The sequence below is a fragment of the Homo sapiens genome, chromosome 12 (assembly GCF_000001405.40).
Source record: "Homo sapiens chromosome 12, GRCh38.p14 Primary Assembly".
Classification (NCBI taxonomy): Eukaryota; Metazoa; Chordata; class Mammalia; order Primates; family Hominidae; genus Homo; species Homo sapiens.
The window spans coordinates 102,492,982-102,513,869 of record NC_000012.12 but is presented as its reverse complement, the minus strand read 5'-3'; the positions used below and the strand labels follow the sequence as shown (position 1 = coordinate 102,513,869).

Below are 20,888 nucleotides of genomic sequence, written 5' to 3'. Positions count from 1 at the left end.
GCTCTACCTTTATGTCTAATCACCCCATAAAAGGCCCCATCCCCTTTTACGATGACCTTGGGGGTTAGATTTCAACGTTTGAAATTTGTGGGGGATGTACATATTCAGACCACAGCACACATTATAGTTTGGCACGGCCCCAGACTCTAAAAAAGGTTAAAAGAACCCTGATTTGCTCAGCTCTCCAGCTCCATATTTAATTCCTCTAAGGCAACTGGGGGCTTCAGTATTGCAGTCAAGTGATGGGGCAAAGCTAGGCATGCCTGAGATTCGCATCCACTTATGCCAGTGCTCACCCGGCACTGGTGTCAGGTGAGGCTGGCAGGCTTAGGGACACTGGGGTCACGGCCTCAACCTCCCAGGTGTCTGGGGAAACCCTCACCCACAGCACACTCTCGGCCTCACTCTCTCCAGCTCATGGGGACTTCATAGAGAAACAGGATGTGAAGCTAAAAAGACAAACCCCGACCTGCCCATCCTAACCTGTGTGTGCCCCATCGTGCAGCCTGAGCTCTGGAACCACCACACATAGGGCAAAGAGAAGAACATGTCTTTGCACAGCTTCAGTCCTGATCGGGCAACTAGATCCCCGGAGAATATACTGAGTGGCAAAGCCTGAAGCTTCCACTGAGGATTAAGAGCAACAGCCCCAGTGCCTGGGCTCTGCTGGACTCAGTACAATGTGGAAAAATGTGTTCTCCTGTTCACATTTAAAGAACAGAATAAAGATTGCACCTCCTTCTACCTTGAAACTGAGGCCTAACTTCTGAGGCTGTGGCTTATTCCTGGTTCTAAACATTCATGTGATTTCTCAGGTCCTATGTAGACTCTGTCTTATTCTCCTCTGCTTCTCCCTCTGCCCTTTTCCTCCCACTCTCAGAATCAGGGTCCTGGTCCTTATCTCAGTCTCTGTGCTTGGGGCCATGCTCCCTGCTGAACAGGCAGTCCTTCTCTGGATCTACCTCCACACCTTCCCATCAAAGCTTTTTCCATTGCCAATTCCACTACCTTTGCCCACAGCAGCCAACACCCAGATGGTGAGCTATGTTAAGTGCTGTTACATCAAGAGCAAGCAACTTGGCCTTGCCCCTTCTGTTTAGAAGGAGAAAGGGGTGTCCACAAGATCTTGACAGGGAAGAGGAAGTGGTTCTCTTTCCCTCATAAGTACTAAAAATGGAAAGAAACACCAGCATTTCCGATTTGAACTATTAATCTGAACCACATGAAATCGCCAGTATGCTACCTACTAAAATCAGAAAGTTCATATTACCCTAACACATCTCCTAGACTGCCTCTCCCGCCCAGGCACACAAAGCTATTGTAGGCTGTTTTGGACTAATTTGGAGTGAAGGCTTGGACCAAACAACTCTGTGGAGGAGAAAGCCTTACCAACTCTTTTCCCATTGCTTAGGACACTTCAAGCAAAGAATTAGGAGGAAATACTGGTCATTCATTTACTCTGTCCACAAAAATACATTCAAGTTCTATTGTATGCTAGGTATTATGCTGTAAATCTAACATTATTTTTATACTATGTTTACTCCCAGCCTTATTTTTCCTTTCCAGGAAGGCAAACACGTGCTGGTGTTATAATGGAAACAGCACTGGTTTAGGGTCAGAACAATCACGGTTCGGCTCCCAGGTCTGTTTTTAATTAGCTGCATGACCATGAGGGAAGTCCCAGACTCTCAAAGTTATCAGTTTCTCCATTGATAAAATGGGTATAAACATGTCTGCACCATATGTTAAGGATGAAATAAGTTGATCCATATGACAAGTGCACTCGCTATGGGCAGTTTTCCTTCACTCCTCCTTTTCCCATAAACCTTTCATTTATTCTCAAGTTTCCTGGTGGCCTAGTCATGGCCTCTGGTTTAAATAGGCCTGTTCAGCTTGGAGCAGACTCTTATATTAAGTGGGATAAAAGTCTGGAGTAAGGTTCATAGACACTAGGTTAAGAATCCCTGATATATATTTAGGTGTTTCAATACTTACTGGATAACTCTAACCCCAAATGATCAATGTCACCGTTTGCTTTCCTGCTCTATTTCTAGACATATTATATAAACATGGCAAGATCAAAGAGCAATAGCAGTTTGGCTGCCACTTTAGACTTTGCCCCTGCCCGAAGCACTTGGCCAATGTAATCCTTGGTCATAATTAATTGTTGGCAAAGCTACAAGGAGTAGCCCCAATTCTATCCTGTTAGGGGAAGTGTAAATTGAGAACACTTTTGGAAGACAACACTTTTGGACAGTTTTTATTAAAACCCAAAAATGTATATAATGTCTACCCTAAGAATTCACCACTAGGAATATCTGTTAAGAAAGTAGGCAGACATAAGAATATCTGATAAAAAAGTAATTCATTATATATTTGGAGTTTGTTTGTTTTTGAGACTGTGTCTTCCTCTGTCATCTGAGCCAGAGTGTAGGTACAATCATAACTCACTGCAGCCTTGAACTCCTGAGCTCAAGCTATCATCCCACCTCAGTCTCCCAAGTAGCTGGGACTATAGACGAGTAACACTAGGCTCAGCTAAGTTTTTAAAAATTTTTTTTTGTAAAGATGAGGACCTCGCCATGTTTCCCAGGCTAGACTCAAACTCTCAGCCTCAAGCAATTCTCCCACTTCAACCTCCCAAAGTGCTGGGATTATAGGTATCAGCCACCATGTTCAGTCTTAGATGTTTGTTTATAAAAAATCTGAAGGATGGGGCACCCCCAATATTCAACCAGAGAGCCTTGATTAAATAAATTATGGCTACTCATAAAATGGAATCCAATTGAGCTACTAGAAATCTCACATAAAATAAGAAAGGATAATCTATTGCTAAGTGAATAGAGCTAATTATAAAATAGCACAGTACAATTTTTTTGTTAGGAAATAAACCAAAAGTTTAACATTGGTAATACCTGCATGGAGAGATTATTGATGATTTTTGTCATCCTCTGTGCTTTTCTATATTTTCCAAAATTTTTGCAATATATATAAAGTACTTTCAAAATTAGGGGTAGAAAGAATGCATCTCTTTGTTTCTAAGTAGTTAACACGTAAGTAACTATCTAAATAGCACCCTGCCACAGGGGAACAGAGCAGACAGCAGGGACTTCTGAAAATGAGAGAGATACTAATGGCCATTGTTACATCATTGTTAGCAAAGGTCTGAAGATCAACCTTGTTGCAATTTCCATGTTCTGCATCAGTGCATATTTAAACGATGTTGTTGTGAGCTTTCCAAGCTACATAGAAAAGATTCCCATGACCCAGTTGCATTCAACTCAGTGCATAATACAAAAGAATGTCTGGGTAGGAAGGAATCTTCAAAACCATTTTGTTTTGCTCTTCCCTTTCTTAAATGAGGCATCCAAGCTCAGAGAAACCAAGTGAATTGTCTTAGGCCACCGAGCTGGTCATGTGTATGACATTCTGTATGGCATTCTGTACTAAGTACATGGGGGTTCATATGATGAATAGGGAAGGATTACCACAGATTAGGTGGACTTGTCACAAAACATATCAATTTGGAACAAGGTGATGTATGAACAAAAACAGCAACAAGCCACGATAAAACTATTTGCCAGCATTTCTCTTCAGGAGAGTACAGTGTCTGTTTCAAGGAATGTGGTGATAAGCTTACTTGGAGTAGACACTGAGGCCCTGGGGCCATGAAATGGCTGGTACCATGGCTTCAGGAAGAGGGGCAAACTCCTCTGTACAAGAATTGTATTTGTTCCTTAAAGAGGGAGGGAGGGGAAAGAGGAAAGAGATGAGAAATGTCAATTACAAAATGTTGGTGAGTAGATCTTTTTTTTGTGAACTCATGAAATAGCTGAGTTCTGTATACAAGTTGGGGCAACCAATAGGCTCACAAGCTCACCCCATTTTACCAACGACCTTCCCACTTTTAGCAGTGATAGTCCTGTGTCCCAGGAACCCCTCAGTCCTGAGCAAACCAGGGTGGTTAATCCACAAAGGGCAACATGTGCACTTATGGGAGTTAGAGGCCTCTTCCAGCATCTGCATTACAAAGCAAATTTTTACAAATCCAAGAGACTGTCAAGTTTTGCAAAACATTGTCAAATTTTGCCAACAGGTTAAATGAGCAAAATGAGAATGAGAATATCTCTTCTCACATACAAAGAATCTATAATTTTTCAGAAGCCACTGCCTGAGTCATAACAATGCTTTAACATTATTGATAAATGTGAGAGCCCTTATTAGAAGCTTTTCTCTTGCCATTCCTGTGCTCAAAGACTAAGAATTAAATTCTTGCCCTGCTTATTGGGCAACTCACCAAACATCTGTGATGTATGTAGAAATCACAATTTCTGTAAATAAAACCAAACAACCATATGTAAAATGGAGATATAATTATTGCACTCCTTCAAAGTACTGAGGTTTAGATGAGTTCATATGAGTAATGATTACTTAAATATTGTCAGTTTCTCTGGCTTTGGATGGTTAGAGCCCAAGGGGCTGCTGTTTGCATTTATTTTCCATTTTCAAATCTTCTGCAAATATTGAAAGCAAAAGAAAAGTGAAGGGAAAAACTCAACAATCACTCTGCTGGGCCAGAAGCTGCTCCCTAGTCCCCAGAAGCTGCCAACTTTTCTCTCTCCCAGGTTTTCTCTCTTTTTCTTTCCTAGTCCCTCCTGTTCTGAGAAATAGGATTTGGGTTGCCACTCTCTGTGCTCCTTTTACTTCAGAGGAGAATGTGTACTTAAGAGAAAGAGTCAGGCCAGGAGGGAACAGATGTGCCTTCCTCCTGGTCATTCCATTAAAGCCACCTTAAGGTTTGGCTCAACTTTCATAATAGCCTTTCTCACGGTATCTTTGTAGATACAATAGTAAGATGGAGTAAGTGGAAATTGATGTAAAGATGTCAGTTGAACAACAATACTATCCACTAAACTCCTAAGTAGCAATTAGAAAACCCGGTTCTAGTGGATAGAAAAAAATGATTCTCAATCCTGAATGAGAAAAGAATCACCAAGAGAATTTGCCAAAAACAGGGATGCGTAGGGACCCATCACAGGCTTTCTCAGTCTGTAGGACTATATTTCTAACAAGTACCTGTATATTTAAACTACCTCCTCGGGTGATTCCAATGTACTGCCTGGGTTGAGAGCCCTGAGTATAGCATATGTGTGGTGCAGTGGGTCTCATGTGAGTGGTTCTGAGACAAGTGGACTGGAGGGCACACTTTGAGAACCACATCCTGCTAATTTTTGTATTTTTAGTAAAGACGGGGTTTCACCATGTTGGCCAGGGTGGTCTCGAACTCCTGACCTCAGGTAATCCTCCTGCCTTGGCCTAAAAGTCATTACTTCTAACTAGTCACTTATTCCTCTTTGGGCCTGAGCATCGTCATCCATAGTATGGAATAGAGTGTACTCAAAGAGGTCATCTATAAGGCCCCTCCCAGTTCTAACTTTCTATGATTGACAAGGATGTAAAGCAGGAATTGGCAAACTTTTTCTGTAGAGGAACAGATAGTAAATATTTTAGTCCTTGCAGGCCATGTGGTCTTTGATTAGTTGTTACAACTACTCAACTCTGCTGTTATAATGTGAAAGTAGCCATAGACAACATGTAAATTGAGTGTGACTGTGTTCTAATAAAACTTTATTGGCACAAACAGGCAATGGGCCAGATTTGGCCCTGGGCTATAGTCTACCAGAACTCTGATGTAAAGGATAAAAGGAGAAGGGAGGCTCCCTCCACTCTGTGCTAGTCAAAACAACTGCAGTAGTGTGTCTTCTCCAAGATACTACACTTTTAGAATACACTGAGGCACACAGAGGTTAAGTAATATGCCTGATTTAACTTACATGTTTCAAATATGGCCATTCTCTTCTTACAGTAAGACTTTGACATTCTTCTCACCAAGAGCTGGGGTCTATATCTCCTCCTTTTGACTCTGGGCAAACTTATGTCTATGGCACAGGTGGTACTACATGACTTCTGAGCCTAGGTCATAAAAGGTGATACAGCTTATATCTGGTTCTCTTAGGACTCTCACCTTTGTAACCTAGACATCATGCTATGAGAAAGCCTCTCACCCTACGTATTAGTCTGTTTTCATGCTGCTGATAAAGACATGCCTGAGACTGGTTAATTTATAAAGAAAAAGAGGTTTAATGGATTCACAGCTCCACATAGCTGGGTAGGCCTCACAATCATGGTGGAAGGCAAAAGGCACGTTTTATATGGAGGCAGGCAAGAGACAATGAGAGCCAAGTGATAGGGGTTTCCTCTTATAAAACCATCATATCTTATGCGACTTATTCACTACCATGAGAACAGTGTGGGGGAAACCACACCATGATTCAATTATCTCCCACTGGGTCCCTCCCACAACATGTGGGAATTATGGGAACTACAATTCAAGATGAGATCTTGGTGGGGACACAGCCAAACCATATCACCCTGTGAGGAAGTTCACATGGAAAGGAACTGGTAATCAACCCCAAATTGCCAGTTCTGTGAATAAGCCAGTTTGTAAGTGAATCCTCCAGCCACCAGGTAAGCCACCCCAACTGAGTGGAGCAGAGATGAAACATCCCTGCTGAGCCTTGCCCAGATTGAAGATTCATGAACCTAATAAATCATTGGTTTTACCTTAAGCCATAAGTTTTGGGGTGGTCTGTTATGGAGTAATAGATAATTTTCTTTGTATGAGAATTGGATGTTGCCACTTTGAAAAAATGTAAAATATGTGGCATTGGCTTTGGTACAGTAGGCAGAAACCTAAAAGATCTTGAAGAGAATTTTAGTAAAAGCCTAAAAAGCTTCAAGGAGCTACTCCATCAGAAAGAAAAGTGAATAAAATGTTGTTCAAAGCTACAGGAAAAGATCTCCATGTTATATATTACGTAGTGGCAGAAAATTTGGTAATTCAGTCACCTGGGTAGCATGGTCAAAATAAAATGTACCTAGTAGATTTGATGATTTAACTAAGGGGATTTTCAAGAAGAATATTGGGAGAGTTATCTTGCTTCTTCTAGCTGCCTATGATAAAATGTGAGAGGAGAGAGATGAGCTAAAGGACAAGCAATTACATACAAAAGAGCCAGAATTTTCAGGGTTTGGAAGTAAAACTGTGTCTCATCCCTAGCCTCTCCAGGATTTTCAAATCTATAAATGGCTTCAAGGCAAAGAGGATTGAATACAGGGTATGGCTTTAAATCCCTTGTTAAGACCTAAGAAATATTTAAGGTCATACCTCAGAGATGTATTCAGATAAAAGAACTTCTGAGGGTATGAGTGTCATCTCTCACAGATCTTCTCCATTAAACAATAAGGCTTCCAAGAATCATAAGGGTGATGTTCCTCAGGGCACTCACAGAGGTCCAATGCAAAGAAATGCCTTCCTCAAATAGGTCTGTGGATGACTTTTGTCTAGTGGGTACGTGTCAATATGATTCACAGAAAATCCAAAGAGTTTTTAAGAGAATTGTTCTGAGCTAGGCAGGATGGCACATGCCTATAATCCTAGCACTTTGGGAGGCTGAGGAGGGCGGATCGCCTGAGGTCAGGAGTTCAAGACCAGCCTGGCCAACATGGCAAAACCCCATCTCTACTACAAACACAAAAATTAGCCGGTGTGTTGGCAGGCACCTGTAATCCCAGCTACACGGGAGACTGAGGCAGGAGAATTGCTTGAACCCAGGAGGTGGAGGTTGAAGTGAGCCCAAGATTGTGCCACTGCACTCCAGCCTGGGTGACAAGAGCAAAACTCCATCTCAAAAAAAAAAAAAAAAAAAAAAAAAGAGAAAGAATTGTTTTGGTAGAAGCACTGCCAATTCAGACTAAAAGGGATAGAAACTGCATACAATTAAAAAAGTGCTTTGGACTAAGATGTAGACTGAGAAAATTATTCAGCTGCAAATATGGGCTACAGTTTATGGAATATAAAGGATAATTTAGAGTATGGAGCCGAAAGTCAGGGGGGAGACAAGAGCTGTGTAGAACCATTCCCAGGCAGTAGAATGAGGCTTAATCAAAGAACTAGCAACAAGCATCTGCCTGTATTTCAAAACTGTTGTAGTGCCATAACAGTTGTGTGTTTCTTATTTTCTCCCTCTTTGAATGGAAATATCTATGGGGATTATTGTATGAAGTCCCCAATTATACGCTGGGTATGAGAGGAGCAGATATCTTGACTCTTTAGTCATAGGTCTTCAGAATGATACTCAAGTGGTTGTACCCAATGTTATAATAGGATGAGACTTGGGGGTCTTGGAAGAAGGGTATGAGCATATTTTGGATAAAAATTGGTATGAATTATAGTTGCCAGAGGACAAATTGTGGAAGATTGTATTTTTCAAACATAGCCATAACAGTAACTTCAATCTCACATGCTCTTCTTACAAAGTAGTATCGAACCTTGTCTTAGTCCATTTTGTGCTGCTATAATCAAATACTTGAGACTGGGTAATTTATAATGAACAGAAACTTATAAGGAACCCACTTCTACAATAATGAACCCACTCCCAAGATAACAGCATTAATCCATTCATGAGGGCAGAGCCTTCATGGCCTAATTGCTACTATTAAAGTTCCCACCTTTTAATACTGTCACAATGGCAATTAAATTTCAACATGAGTTTGGCGGGGGGGGATTATTCAAACCATAGCAACACCCCTCTATCAAAATGTGATGCTCTGTGATTTCTGAGGCCAGACCATAAAAGGTGATACAACTTCTGCCTAGCTGTCTTGAGTGTACATCCTTGGAACCCAGCCACCGTGCCATAAGGAAACTCAAGCCATGTTGTCCATGTTGAAATTGACAGCCATGTGATTGAGTCATCTTGGAGGTGGTTCTTTCAACATTTGATGAGCCATCCCAGCTAACCCCAAGTGCAGAAAAATAAGCTATCCCCACTGAACCCTACCCAAATTGCAGATCTGTGATAGAAATAAATGACTTGTTTCTTAAGCCATTAAGTGTCAGGGTGGCTTGTAACATAGCAATAGATAACTGGAACACTTAGCAAATCATAGAGCTCACATTTAAACACAGGCATTCTGACTCCAGAGTTCATATTTATAGTTGATACAGAATGCTTCACTGTCCAGATCCCTATTCGAGACTGAAATTCCTGATCATCACCTCAAATGCTGCAAGTGTCGCCATTCAACGGCTCTCAGTTCTCAGGCTTCTACACCAATTGCTCTTGGGTGAAGAGAGAACTTATAACCTTACCCACGGTTATAACCCTTTCCAGGGGCAGTCTGCACCCAACATTTGGTTGATGTAGGGATATAAAAACTCAGCCTCTCTGCTGCAACTTGGGCAACCCTCAAGGACTACCCCAGCTTTAGAGCTTTCCATGGGGTCAGCTAAGGCTTTGTTGCCTCCATACCACAGCCCAACTTCTCTCTTTTCCCAGTCTGCTTATTTCACTTCCTCCCCGGGTGCTGATCCTGAGAAACCTCCCCCAGAATTTCAGCACATGAATCTTCATTGCAGTGTCTTCTGCTTGGGGAACCCAATCTGCAATGCTAGTCTTAACTACACTTAAAATAGTAAGAGTGGAGTGAGGTGTTTACAAAGGTGGGTGAACTAGAGGCATTCAAGCAAACGCATTTGATGGGAAAAGAGTAGAGGGGAGCTCATCTATAAAAACAACTTTTATTGAATGCCTACTGCATGTTGTGATTATAAAGATAAGAGACTATATTTATCTAGAAAAGTTTGCCATCTAATAAAAGATATGGTCAATAAAACATAAAATTACAATACATGGTAGTAAATACTATGACAGGGAAAGACTCTAACAGGGCCATGGAAACCCAGAGGGCCACATCTCTGACCTTGCAAATACAGGAGAACATAAGCTTCATGTAAATATCAGTAAACACTGCAGAAAGCGTAAACATATGGAAAGTGGAAAGTGATGTGGCTAGATAATTTGACAAGGATTGGACCATGAAAGGCTTTCAGTACCCTGGTTAATGGTATGTATTTTGCTTTATAAGAAAATAGAGTTCCACTGAAAGTCTTCAGGAAATGGATCATCAGAGTTAAGTGCACATTCTAAAAAGATCACTGCAGCCACATCTTGGAAGATTATTTTAAAAGTGGCAAGATTAGAGACAGGAAGAGCATTCAGGGTTGCTGTTGTGATCATTCAGATGAGAAATTATGATCTTTGTCATTATTATTATTCACTAGTGCCGATAAAGAGAAATGGGGATTCTGTACCTCTCCCCCTACTCCCTGCCCAAAATTAAACCATCTAAGCTGGGCATTCTATTCTAAATGTGGCTTCCTATACTGATTACATGGAGCAATTAGCTGATTAATCCTCTCCTCCATGGAGAGGCTGTGAAAGCAGAAGAAACAGCAGCAGTTCACAAGTTTCATGAGGGCAAATTAGTTCCTCTGTCCCCCAGCATACCAGAAAAAGCAGCAGTTCCTCAAAATGAAGATCTACATTAATCAGACACTTCTGTGACACACCACTCCTCAGCCAAATGTTGAAAAGCTTTGAGTACTCTCAAGGTACCCCTAAGGAGTGCCTTCCCTGCCTAAAAGAGTGTCATAACCACTTAGGGGACTTTCTTTAAGGATGAGAACATTTCAACTGGCAGCCAATTATCAAGGACATCTAGTACAGCTTGAAGCAGAACATATTTGTTTTTTGTGTTTGTCTTAAAAAGACATTCATCAGCCATCATGTCTTTTGGTTGCAGAAAAGCAGAGACCTGTAAAAAATGCAACAGGGAAAGAACCCTCGAGGACTCACTTTTGTGATTGGCTTGGGATGGAATAATCCCAACATCAGGGCTTCTAAGAGCCCCCAGATAATTGTTGGAATTCTTTAAGATTCAATTCCCTTGAGATCAGAAGGTGGGGAATAGAAGCAGGGAAAGAAGTTTGCATTTTGTTTTATTAACTACAATCCATACACACATAAAAAGTGCTGCAGGAGTAGGTGCATTTTCTTTTGCCCTTCACCTTCCATACTATGAGGGCACAGCAAGAAGGCCTCACTAGATGCCAGCACCTTGATTTTGGAACTGCAAGAAATAAATTTCTGTTCTTTATAAATTACCCAGACTCAGCACAAAATGGACTAAAGCAAGTACTTACCTTCAAAATTTCTGTCTTGGTTGACTTCTAAGGAAACCCGACTAAGAAGTGCCCTCCAACAAAGGTTGTAATAATTTGTACTTCCACCAACAATGTGTGTTTTCTCTTTCCACATCAGTTTTATCCCTACCCCAACTTATCATCATTATTTATTCATTCATTTACTCATTTGTTCATCCATTCACTAGATACCTGCTAAGCATATTCTGTTTCAGACACCTTTCTGGCTGTTGCATACAATACAGGGAACTGGAAATCAGATATACTATCTCCTTTTCCTGTACTCCTGCCATTGCTAAATGTTTTTTAAAGAAGGAAAGTCCAATATTATTCCACAGCTGGAGAAAAGACATTTGAAATACATATTCTCAACTAAAGCAACACATGAGTAAGGGATTCCAACAATCTGTAATCAGCAGTAACAAGATTGATTATCAAATCCTTCCCAGGTTTGCTAAAGGGTGGGGTTGAAGAGAACAGGAGATGTCAGACCCCTGAAGCAGGTCAAGGGGACCTGGGACAGAAGACAATCTTCAAAGATTTTACATGTTGATCTAGACTAGGGTCTGATCCAGGACAAAAAGAAACTGCATGCTGAGCAATTTTGTCACAAGGTTGCAAATGTTCTGCTTTCATGATTTATGGACATGTTTTTGTTTTTCAAACTGCCTGTTTTCATAGTAAAGAGCTTTATTCCCGGAGCGCTCGTTAATGGAGGTATTATTGTTCTCAAAAGAGCAAGAGAGAAAGTCACCGCTACCCTGGGTAAATTCCAGTCTGTCTTCTCTGCCTCTAAACCACGGCTGCCAAGTGTTGGGAGAAGTCTGTCTATTCTGCAATCATGGAGTCCAACCACAGCTGAGCCCTTGCTGCTCTGAATACAGCATGTGTTTGTCCTGGTCAACTCTCCCTTTCTTCTCAGCAGCTACTTCAGGCTTTCTCCTCTCTCTTTAAACCTCCTGCTCTGCTACTTTCTCTTTTGCTCTAAGCAGATGAGCTTGCTTTCTATCTTAAAGGAAAAACTGGGCAATTCAAAGATGGTGAGGCAGGAGAATCGCTTGAACCTGGTAGGCGCGGGTTGCAGTGAGCCGAGATCGCATCACTGCACCCCAGCCTGGGCAACAGAGGGAGACTCTGTCTCAAAAAAACAAAACAAAACAAAAAAAGGATGGGCTCCTCCATTCACAAACCTCTCCACATCTGCCGCCAACCATGGCTCTCAATTACCTGCCCCTCCATCTCGCCTATTTTCTCTGGTCCCCTCCAGCTCATTAAGGTAGCATTTGCCTCCTGTCCCTCCCATTCCCTTCTGTTTCTCAGAGCTTCACTAAAGCTCTTTGGCGTCATCAAATAAACATGCCCAAATCTCTTTCAACTTTAAATGAAAAGGCTTTCCCTGTAAGTCCCCCTATCTGACTCCTCTTTCATATTTTATTGATTGATTGATTGATTGATTGATTGAGACAGAATCCTGCTCTGTCACCAGGTTAGAGTGCAGTGCCTCAATCTCAGCTCACTGCAGCCTCTACCTCCTGGGCTCAAGCCATCCTCCCGCCTCAGCCTCCGGAGTAACTGTGACCACAGGCATAATTTTTGTAGAGACGGGGTTTCAACTTGTTACCGAGGCTGGTCTTGAACTCAAGCAATTTGCCCGCCTGGGCCTCCCAAAGTGCTGGGGTTACAGCTGTGAACCACCACACCCGGCCTCATTTCTTTGATAATTTAATGCCTTGAAAGAGTTGTCCACCCTTACTTTCTTCATATCTTCTCCTCCCGATTGTTCCTAACTCCCTGCATCTTTTTCCACCCAACACAACATAGATATGTTTTTCTTTTCCTCATTTTCAAAACAATAAACTCTTTTCAAATCTCAACTCAAAATCTTTACAGCAGTGGTTTGCCATCATAAAACAAATATCACCTGGGAACATATTAGAGACTAAATTCTTGGGGCCCACCCAAGAGCTGCTAAATTAGAAACTCTGGGATGTGACCCAGTAACCTATGTTTTAGCAAGTCCTCTAGGTGACTCTGATTTATGCTTTGAGTTTGAGTTTAATATTGCCAGCCTCTCCTGTTTCTTTTTAAAACACTTTCTCCACTTGGTTTCTGTAAACTAGTATTCTAACTTTTCTTTTTTAAAAATTTTTATTGTAAATCAATAATTTATAATTGTATAAATTTGTGGGGTACAAAATGATGTTATGATTTACGAATACAGTGTGGAATAGTTGAATCAAGCTAGTTAACATATCGATTGCCTCAGATACTTAACATTTTTTGTGGTGAGGACATTTGAAATTTACTCTTAGCAATTGCAAGGTATACAATACCCTATTATGAACTATATTCACCACACTGGGTAATAGCACACAAAAATGTATTCCTCTTGTCAAACTGAGATTTTGTACCCTCTGACCATTATCTCTTCATTTACCCTTCCCCTTAATCTCTGTAACCACCATTCTACTCTCTGCTTCTATGAGTTTGATTGTATAAATTCCACATGTAAGTGAGAATAGGCAGTATTTGTCTTTCTGTGCCTGGCTTATTTCACTTAGCATGATGTTCTCCAGTTCCATCCATATTGTCACAAATGGCAGAATTTCCTTCTTTTTAAAGGCTATTAATATTCTGTGGTATATATACCACATTTTTATCCATTCATCTGTTGTAGACACGTTGATTTCATAGTGCTGCAATGAACATGGGAGTGCAGAATCTCTTCTCTTCAACAAACTGATTTCAAATATTTTAAGTAGAATTTCTGGGTCATATGGTAATTCTATGTTTAGTTTTCTGAGCAACCTCCTTACAGTTTTCCATAATGGGTGGCACTAATTTACATTCTCATTAACAGTATACCAGGGTTCCCTTTTCTTCGCTGCCTTGTCAACCCTTGTTATCGTTTGTCTTTTTGATAACAAGTGTGACCAACATTCCTATGACCACTTATCTAATCCATGGACCCATCATCTCTTATCTGAATCTTTCATATGAAGTCTACCCAGTCTTCTTGCTCCTAGTCTTGTCCTTTCCCCCAGTGTTCTTCACATTGTTTCTGGAAAGGTCTTGCATTTCCAGACAGTGCTGAGGACTGATTTGATGTTCGTGTTCAAAAATCTAAAGTGAGGCCATTCAGCTTGGTTATGCATTTTCTCCAACCACATTCAGCTGTACAGGTGTAGACATGGAGTTGATGGAGATTCAGAACTGTGGTTTTTCCTTACAAATGTGATGGGAAAAGACATGGATAAGGTACATACACACAGGGGATGGGGTAAAGTGATGGGTCACGGAATGGGTCACAGAATGATGGGTTGGGTAAAAGGGAAATTGAGGGCATAATGGGATAAAGAATAAGGAAACATAGAAGAATCAAAGGATTTGAGATCCCAATAGTGGCAAGGAATGGTTAGAGATGGAGTACGAGAAGAGGTGAGCTGGAAAAATAGAAAATGGCATACGGGGAGTGGAATACTTAGAATGGAGACCTTGGAGGTAATGCAAGTTACCCAAAGTCTAGGGTATATTAGCGTTGATATATGAGGTATGGTGGAAGAACAGATGACTGAATGCAAGGAGGCAAAAAAGCTGAGAAGCCAGGTTGTCAAAGAGACTGTCTACATAGATGCCAAAGTACTTAAGAATGCTAACAAACTCAGTGGTGGAAAGAAGGCAGTGATCCAGACAAGAAATCTTTAATGAATGAAGGGGGCTGACAATAACGACAATGGATAATGGCAACAAGGTGGGAGAGAAGGAGGTATATTCTGATAACTTGTGCTCCAGAGGAGCTGGAGATGGATGAGTTTGGGAAAGAGGGAGAGCAATCATCTGAAAATAGTCATAGGGAATAAGGAGGACTTCTATCCATCATCTCCAGACCCTGGTGTGCATGAAATACAAGAGAAAAAGAAACAGTCTCCACAGAGAGGACTAGGCAAAATCACTGTCCTCCAGAGGCACATGGGTTTCAGTTAAAGAAAAAAGGGGAAGCAGAAGAAGATGAGGAAATGGGGAATTTTGCTGACGGCCTGCTGTGAGTTCCAGAGGGCACAATAGAAAGATCTGGGGGAGGGGTATAGAAGATAAAGTCAGTTTGAGAGATGGACAGAGCAGTCTAGAGAGTCCTCATGATGGGATGTCAAGAAGGATCAAAAGCTTGTAGGGTGACCATGTGGTCTTTAAGAAGGAAGTGAGTAACCAGTTCTGACTGTAACCTCCTTTTTGAGGCTAGTCTTGGAAGCAGTTTTCAGTGAGGAGGTGGGACATGTTGGAAGGCAATATAGTGTTGATGAAAAGCATAAGCTTTGTTAGTCTTATGTAAAACCCCAAAGCAATTCCTATTAAGCTCCCAGTGAATGGAACCTTTCCAGGAATTGTTTGTATTTTTAAGAGAGGCTGTTTTCCTTAAGTAGACAGGGAGGAAGGTATTTTGAGCCTCTGCATCTCACTTCTTCTGACCTGCACTTATAAATGCTGTTTCATTCAAAAAAAAAAAAAAAAAAGAATTGAGTCCCTCCAGCTCTGCTTGAAGCTCTAGGACATAGATTAGTACTGAGTAAACTCTTCCCTGAAGAAATTGAGATAACTTAACCCTCTGCCTCTATATCTATTCCTTAAGGAAGATTTCCTTGCCTCCTTCCTTTTCAGTCCATACTTGGATCAAGTACCTTTGTTACACTCTTTAAAACAACAAACAGAAAAAAGGAACATATATTTCTTGTACGATTCATAGCTCAGCTTGTAAGTATACATTAATTAGTATAATTATTTAATGAATAATGGTCTCCCTGCAGTAGATGGTAAACTCCATAAAAGGAGAGATGGGGTGTGGTTTTACTCATCAACATGTTCTATTTCATGGCATGTTGGCTATTATGCTCAATAAATATTTTATGAATGAAGGAATCAATAAATATATGGATAAGTGTCTACATATTTACATAAATGCATAGAAAGAAGAAGGCATGACTCAAGTGATATGGGAGTTCACAGAGGTGAATCCTCACTTCTAGCTGGTGCAGGGGTTGGGGGCACAGAAGAGATGGCAGGAGGATTAATGAAGGACAGATGGTAAATGTGCTCAACTTTTCAGCCCAAAGCATTGAGATTGAGGTAGGGATGAGGATTCTTTAGCAGGAGCTGAGGGTACACATGGAATGAAGCATGTCTAGAGTGTAAAAAGTAGTCCAGTTTGACCAGAAGGATGGGTGAAATTATGTAATGCAAAGTATGTATGTATATTCGTTTGCAAAGGTCAGCCAGGTTGAATTGTAAAGGGCGTGGGTTGTTATATTGATTTCATAATATCTCCAACAAAAAAAGTTGATGTGATTAACACATCACCCTCCAGGATAAAGAAAGTTTGAAGCAGATTTCTGCAGTCTAAAAGTCTAAATACTTTTTAAGGGAACTCATTAAAGACTGCTCAGAATTAATTCCTTTTGGAGGAGATTTTGCAATTTAAGCAGCACAACAAGTGATGTCTTTTTCCGATAGTGCAGGCCATTGAACAGTCTGATTTTGCACAGGTCCATTACTCAGTGATCCAGTCAATCTGATATACATGTGCATTTATTTCCCATGTCCCTGGACTTTATCGGTAAAGGCTCAGCTTGAGAGTAGAAATGAACAAGGTGTTGTGAGGCTGAAATGGGAAAGAAAGAGCTTAGGTGCAAAGTCCTATAGTATTGCCTTTTCTTGCTCTTTCTTTTTTCCTTTTCTCTCTCTCCCCCCGCTGCTTTTTATATGTTTGTTTTATTTTGCTCATATACACTTACTTAACTAGAACTATGAGATTTAGTATTATAATTCCAGACATACGATATTTCAAGTTAGTCTCTGTTTCAATTACTAAAATCAGACTTCCTGGACAAGGAGAAAGCCTCCACTTTACTCCCAACAAATGGTTGGGACATAATGAACATCTGGAATGTATACTCGGCGTCTTTAGATGATTACTGATAGAACCCACCCCATTGCGTTCTTCCAGGGCTATAAAAACGTGTTAACATAGTTACATCACACATTTCAGCTGGTTTGTATAAGGCATGATTTTACCCCATGACATTTATTTAAGAAAGTAAATCATAGTTTCATTCAAAGAGATGCTGTAGTTCAGGGCACCTACGTGAACCCAGCCTGGTATTTCCTGCCCATTTTCTGGACTTAACCAACTTGTTTGACAATGAACTGTATTAATATTTTCCAGGCAACATAGTTTAGTAGTTCCAAGAGAATGAAGTTTTCTCCAGTCTGGGGTGACCTGGCTTCCATGCGACCAGTTGGATTGCCCCCACTAAAGAGTTGCATCTTGCAGTCATGTATTTCAGTAATGGTTTTCCCTTCACAAAGAAATTCCCTCTTGTATTGTAGGATAAACACAACACTGGGTTTGGCATGCTTGGGACATGAGTGCCACTGAAATTTTTCAAAAGGGCTCAATGGAGATCCTGTGAAACTGGTATTTATAAACAGCAAAAATGCAAATTTGCCACCACTGGTGTTTAATGGTAACAACTGTTATTGTCCAGTTATTCCTGATTTCACTTAGCATAGGTTATCAGTTCTTCCCTCCCACTGGAAAGATTCCCTTCAATCTCCAGCAGCTTTGGGTTTTATGTTTTGTGTTTGGGTCCTAAGAGTTGTTCAAATTTGGATCACAGGAGTTCCTTGCCCCACTGAGCCTGTCCTTGGGGGCAGCACTTGCTGAATAGTCACTGGTTTGGAAACATTTGCTTTATCTGCAAAATCCACAAAAGTGAGGGGGTTGGAAAAGGCCAGATGTTGGGAAAACATCTTGGGAAAAATAGAGGCCCTCTTGGGAAAAATAGATGCCCTCATTGAGAAGCCCTAACTTCTCTCTAAACTTTGAAAATGCTACAGTTGCCTCTGGATGTCTTCGCTTTCCAAAGCAGTGGAGTGAATTTAATAACTTTGGCACCTCGCAGAGAAGCTCACCAGTCCAGGATGTGGGATTGCTACCTCGATGGGAACCCAAGCTGGGAAAGAGCCTGCCAGTGGGTTGGCAGTGCTCTGACGCCTGCAAGATCCAAATCTGAAGTCACCATTTTCCTTGTGAAGAGTCAGGGATGTGAAGCCAGAGAGCAGTTGATTAAAGGGAACTAGTTCAGCTAGTATTCATTAGCCAGGGAAAGTGGGAAAAGAAAAGAGGGAAAAAACCCACAAAGAAGAACTGGGAGCAAAAAGCCAAAATGCTAGTCAGAAAGCATACAACCTGGTTAAACCATACTATCTTGAATTTCAAGAAAGTCAGCATGACTTCAGAAACTGTCTCTAATCTACCATGAGCCCATTTGAGAGTGCCAAACAGGGAAAGTAATAGCCTCTGAAAACCCCCAAACTGCACTGATTCTGGGGCAGGTTGAAAGGAATTTGCTATGTTATTTATCCTAGGACAACATGTAGATGCTTCTTTAACCTTAGGAAGTACAGATAGAGTTTACCCTAGACTCTAGGATTGTAAGAAATAGAGCATTCAAGGCTATTAAGTGGGAATGTTAAGGCTTTTACGTCTCAACAGAACAAAGCCTATCCAAATCAGAGTGTGACACAGTAGATAAAAGTTTGGCATTATGATTTGCTTTACTTCAGTTTCCTACATATAAGGCTCCAGAAAGACATGCCCCAGAAAACCTATCCTTTGCTCTTACTGTAACTGGAAGAGTATAAGTGGCTTCCTGACAGAGTTGGACTTTGCCTGAGATTCTGGCTTGGACTCTTCCAACTCTTGCTTATGGAGACTAATTGTCTATTTATGCTTCTCTGGCTGCTTGTTTTGTTTTGTTATAGGTAACATAGTATAGTGAAAACTCTGCATGAAATTGTAGTGCTGGGTTGGAAGAGCACATAGTGTTGTGTATTAGAACAACCTGATTTTGAATCTGGAATCTGTAATTTACTAGCCATAGGACATCAACCAAATCATTTAACTTCTAGCCCAATTTTCTCTTCATTTATCCACCAAACATTTTTGGGTGTCTGGTATGTTCCAAGAACTGCCCCCAGACACTTTGAACTAAAAATGGAAATAGAGTGATAATTAAATGAGATTATTAAAACTAATATGAAATAAAGTATTCAACATAATACAAACTCAGTAATGGTAGCATTTATTAATATCATTATTAATATATAAATATTTATTGAGCACCCATTAAAAACCAAGCACTAAGCTGGGAGCTAGGGACATACTGGTATACAATAACAGGTTAGTTATGAAGAAGCCATGCTGAACATTAGCAAGAGATGAGGTTGCTGAGGAAGAGAGTGTTTTGAATGGCAGGAGGGGGGCTTAGATGTGATCAAAGGACTCTGAGGAGGCATTGCATGTTGCTGAACATGGTATGTGTGGAAGATGATTTCAGCAACCAGACAATGGCTAGATTGCCATGAGGGAAGACTAGTTAGAAGCTCATGCAATAATCAAGATTTCATCAATCCATTATGGAACAATGCCAGGCAAATGGAAAGGAAGAAGATGGACCTGAAAGACATTATAAAATAAAGTGGAAGAATGAGGGTGAGGTTTGATGAGCAAGTGAATACAGGTGTCAAATAAGCAAGCCAAGACCAAGATAATACTTATAGAGGTTCAAAAGCTTTGAAGAGTAAAGCACAAAACTGAGTAACTAAATACACACCCACATATCTGGGCAGGGAATCTCTGAAAGAAAGGCAGAAGCCCCAGTCAGGGGCTTATAGATAAAACTCCCATCTTCCTGAGACAGAGCACCTGGGGGAAGGGGCAGCTGTGGGCACAGCTTCAGCAGACTTAAACATTTCTGCCTGCCAGCTCTGAAGAGAACAGCGGATCTCCCAGCACAGCACTTGAGCCCTGCTAAGGGACAGACTGCCTCCTCAAGTTGGTCCCTGACTTCTGTGTCTCCTGACAGGGAGACACCTCACAGCAGGGGTCGACAGACATCTCATACGGGAGAGCTCTGGCTGGCATTTGGCGGGTGCCCCTCTGGGACAAAGCTTCCAGAGAAAGGAGTAGACAGAAATCTTTGCTGTTATGCAGCCTCTGCTTGCGATACCCAGGCAAACAGGATCTGGAGTGAACCCCCTGCAAACTCCAGCAGACCTGCAGAAGAGGGGCCTGACTGTTAGAAGGAAAACTTACAAATAGAAAGCAATAGCATCAACATCAACAAAAATCTCCATCCGAAGATCACCAACAGCAAAGACCAAAGGTAGATAAATCCACGAAGATGAGGAAAAACCAGCACAAAAAGGCTGAAAATTCCAAAAACCAGAATGCCTCTTCTCCTCCAAAGGATCACAACTCCTCACCAGCAAGGGAACAAAACTGGACATAGAATGAGTTTGATGAATTGACAGAGTAGGCTTCAGAAGGTGGGTAATAACAAACACCTCCAAGCTAAAGGAGCATGTTCTAACCCAATGCAAGGAAGCTAAGAACCTTGATAAAAGGTTACAGGAATTGCTAACTACAATAACCACTTAAGAGACTAACATAAATGACCTGATGGAGCTGAAAAAAAGAGCTTGAGAACTTTGTGAAGCATACACAAGTATCAATAGTCAAATCGATCAAGTGGAAGAATGGATATCAGAGATTGAAGATCAACTTAATGAAATAAAGCAGGAAGACAAGATTAGAGAAAAAAGAATAAAAAGGAATGAACAAAGCCTCCAAGAAATATGGGACTGTGTGAAAAAGACCAAACCTACATTTGAATGGTGTATCTGAAAGTGACAGGGAGAATGGAAGCAAGTTGGAAAACACACT

The 20,888-nt window shown here is 41.0% G+C and overlaps 1 long non-coding RNA gene across 1 annotated transcript in view, besides 1 other annotated feature; it reads right to left on the bottom strand.

The window, feature by feature from the left end:
• Positions 1 to 20,888, bottom strand: part of LINC02456 (long intergenic non-protein coding RNA 2456) — a 432,422-nt gene that overhangs the window by 198,126 nt on the left and 213,408 nt on the right. The window lies entirely within an intron of this gene.
• Positions 560 to 709: an enhancer, noted in NCBI's record as "active region_6885". NCBI's record gives its function as "activates an Ori minimal core promoter by ATAC-STARR-seq in GM12878 lymphoblastoid cells {active_cell/tissue: GM12878}" and the evidence as "EXISTENCE:reporter gene assay evidence [ECO:0000049][PMID:35858748]".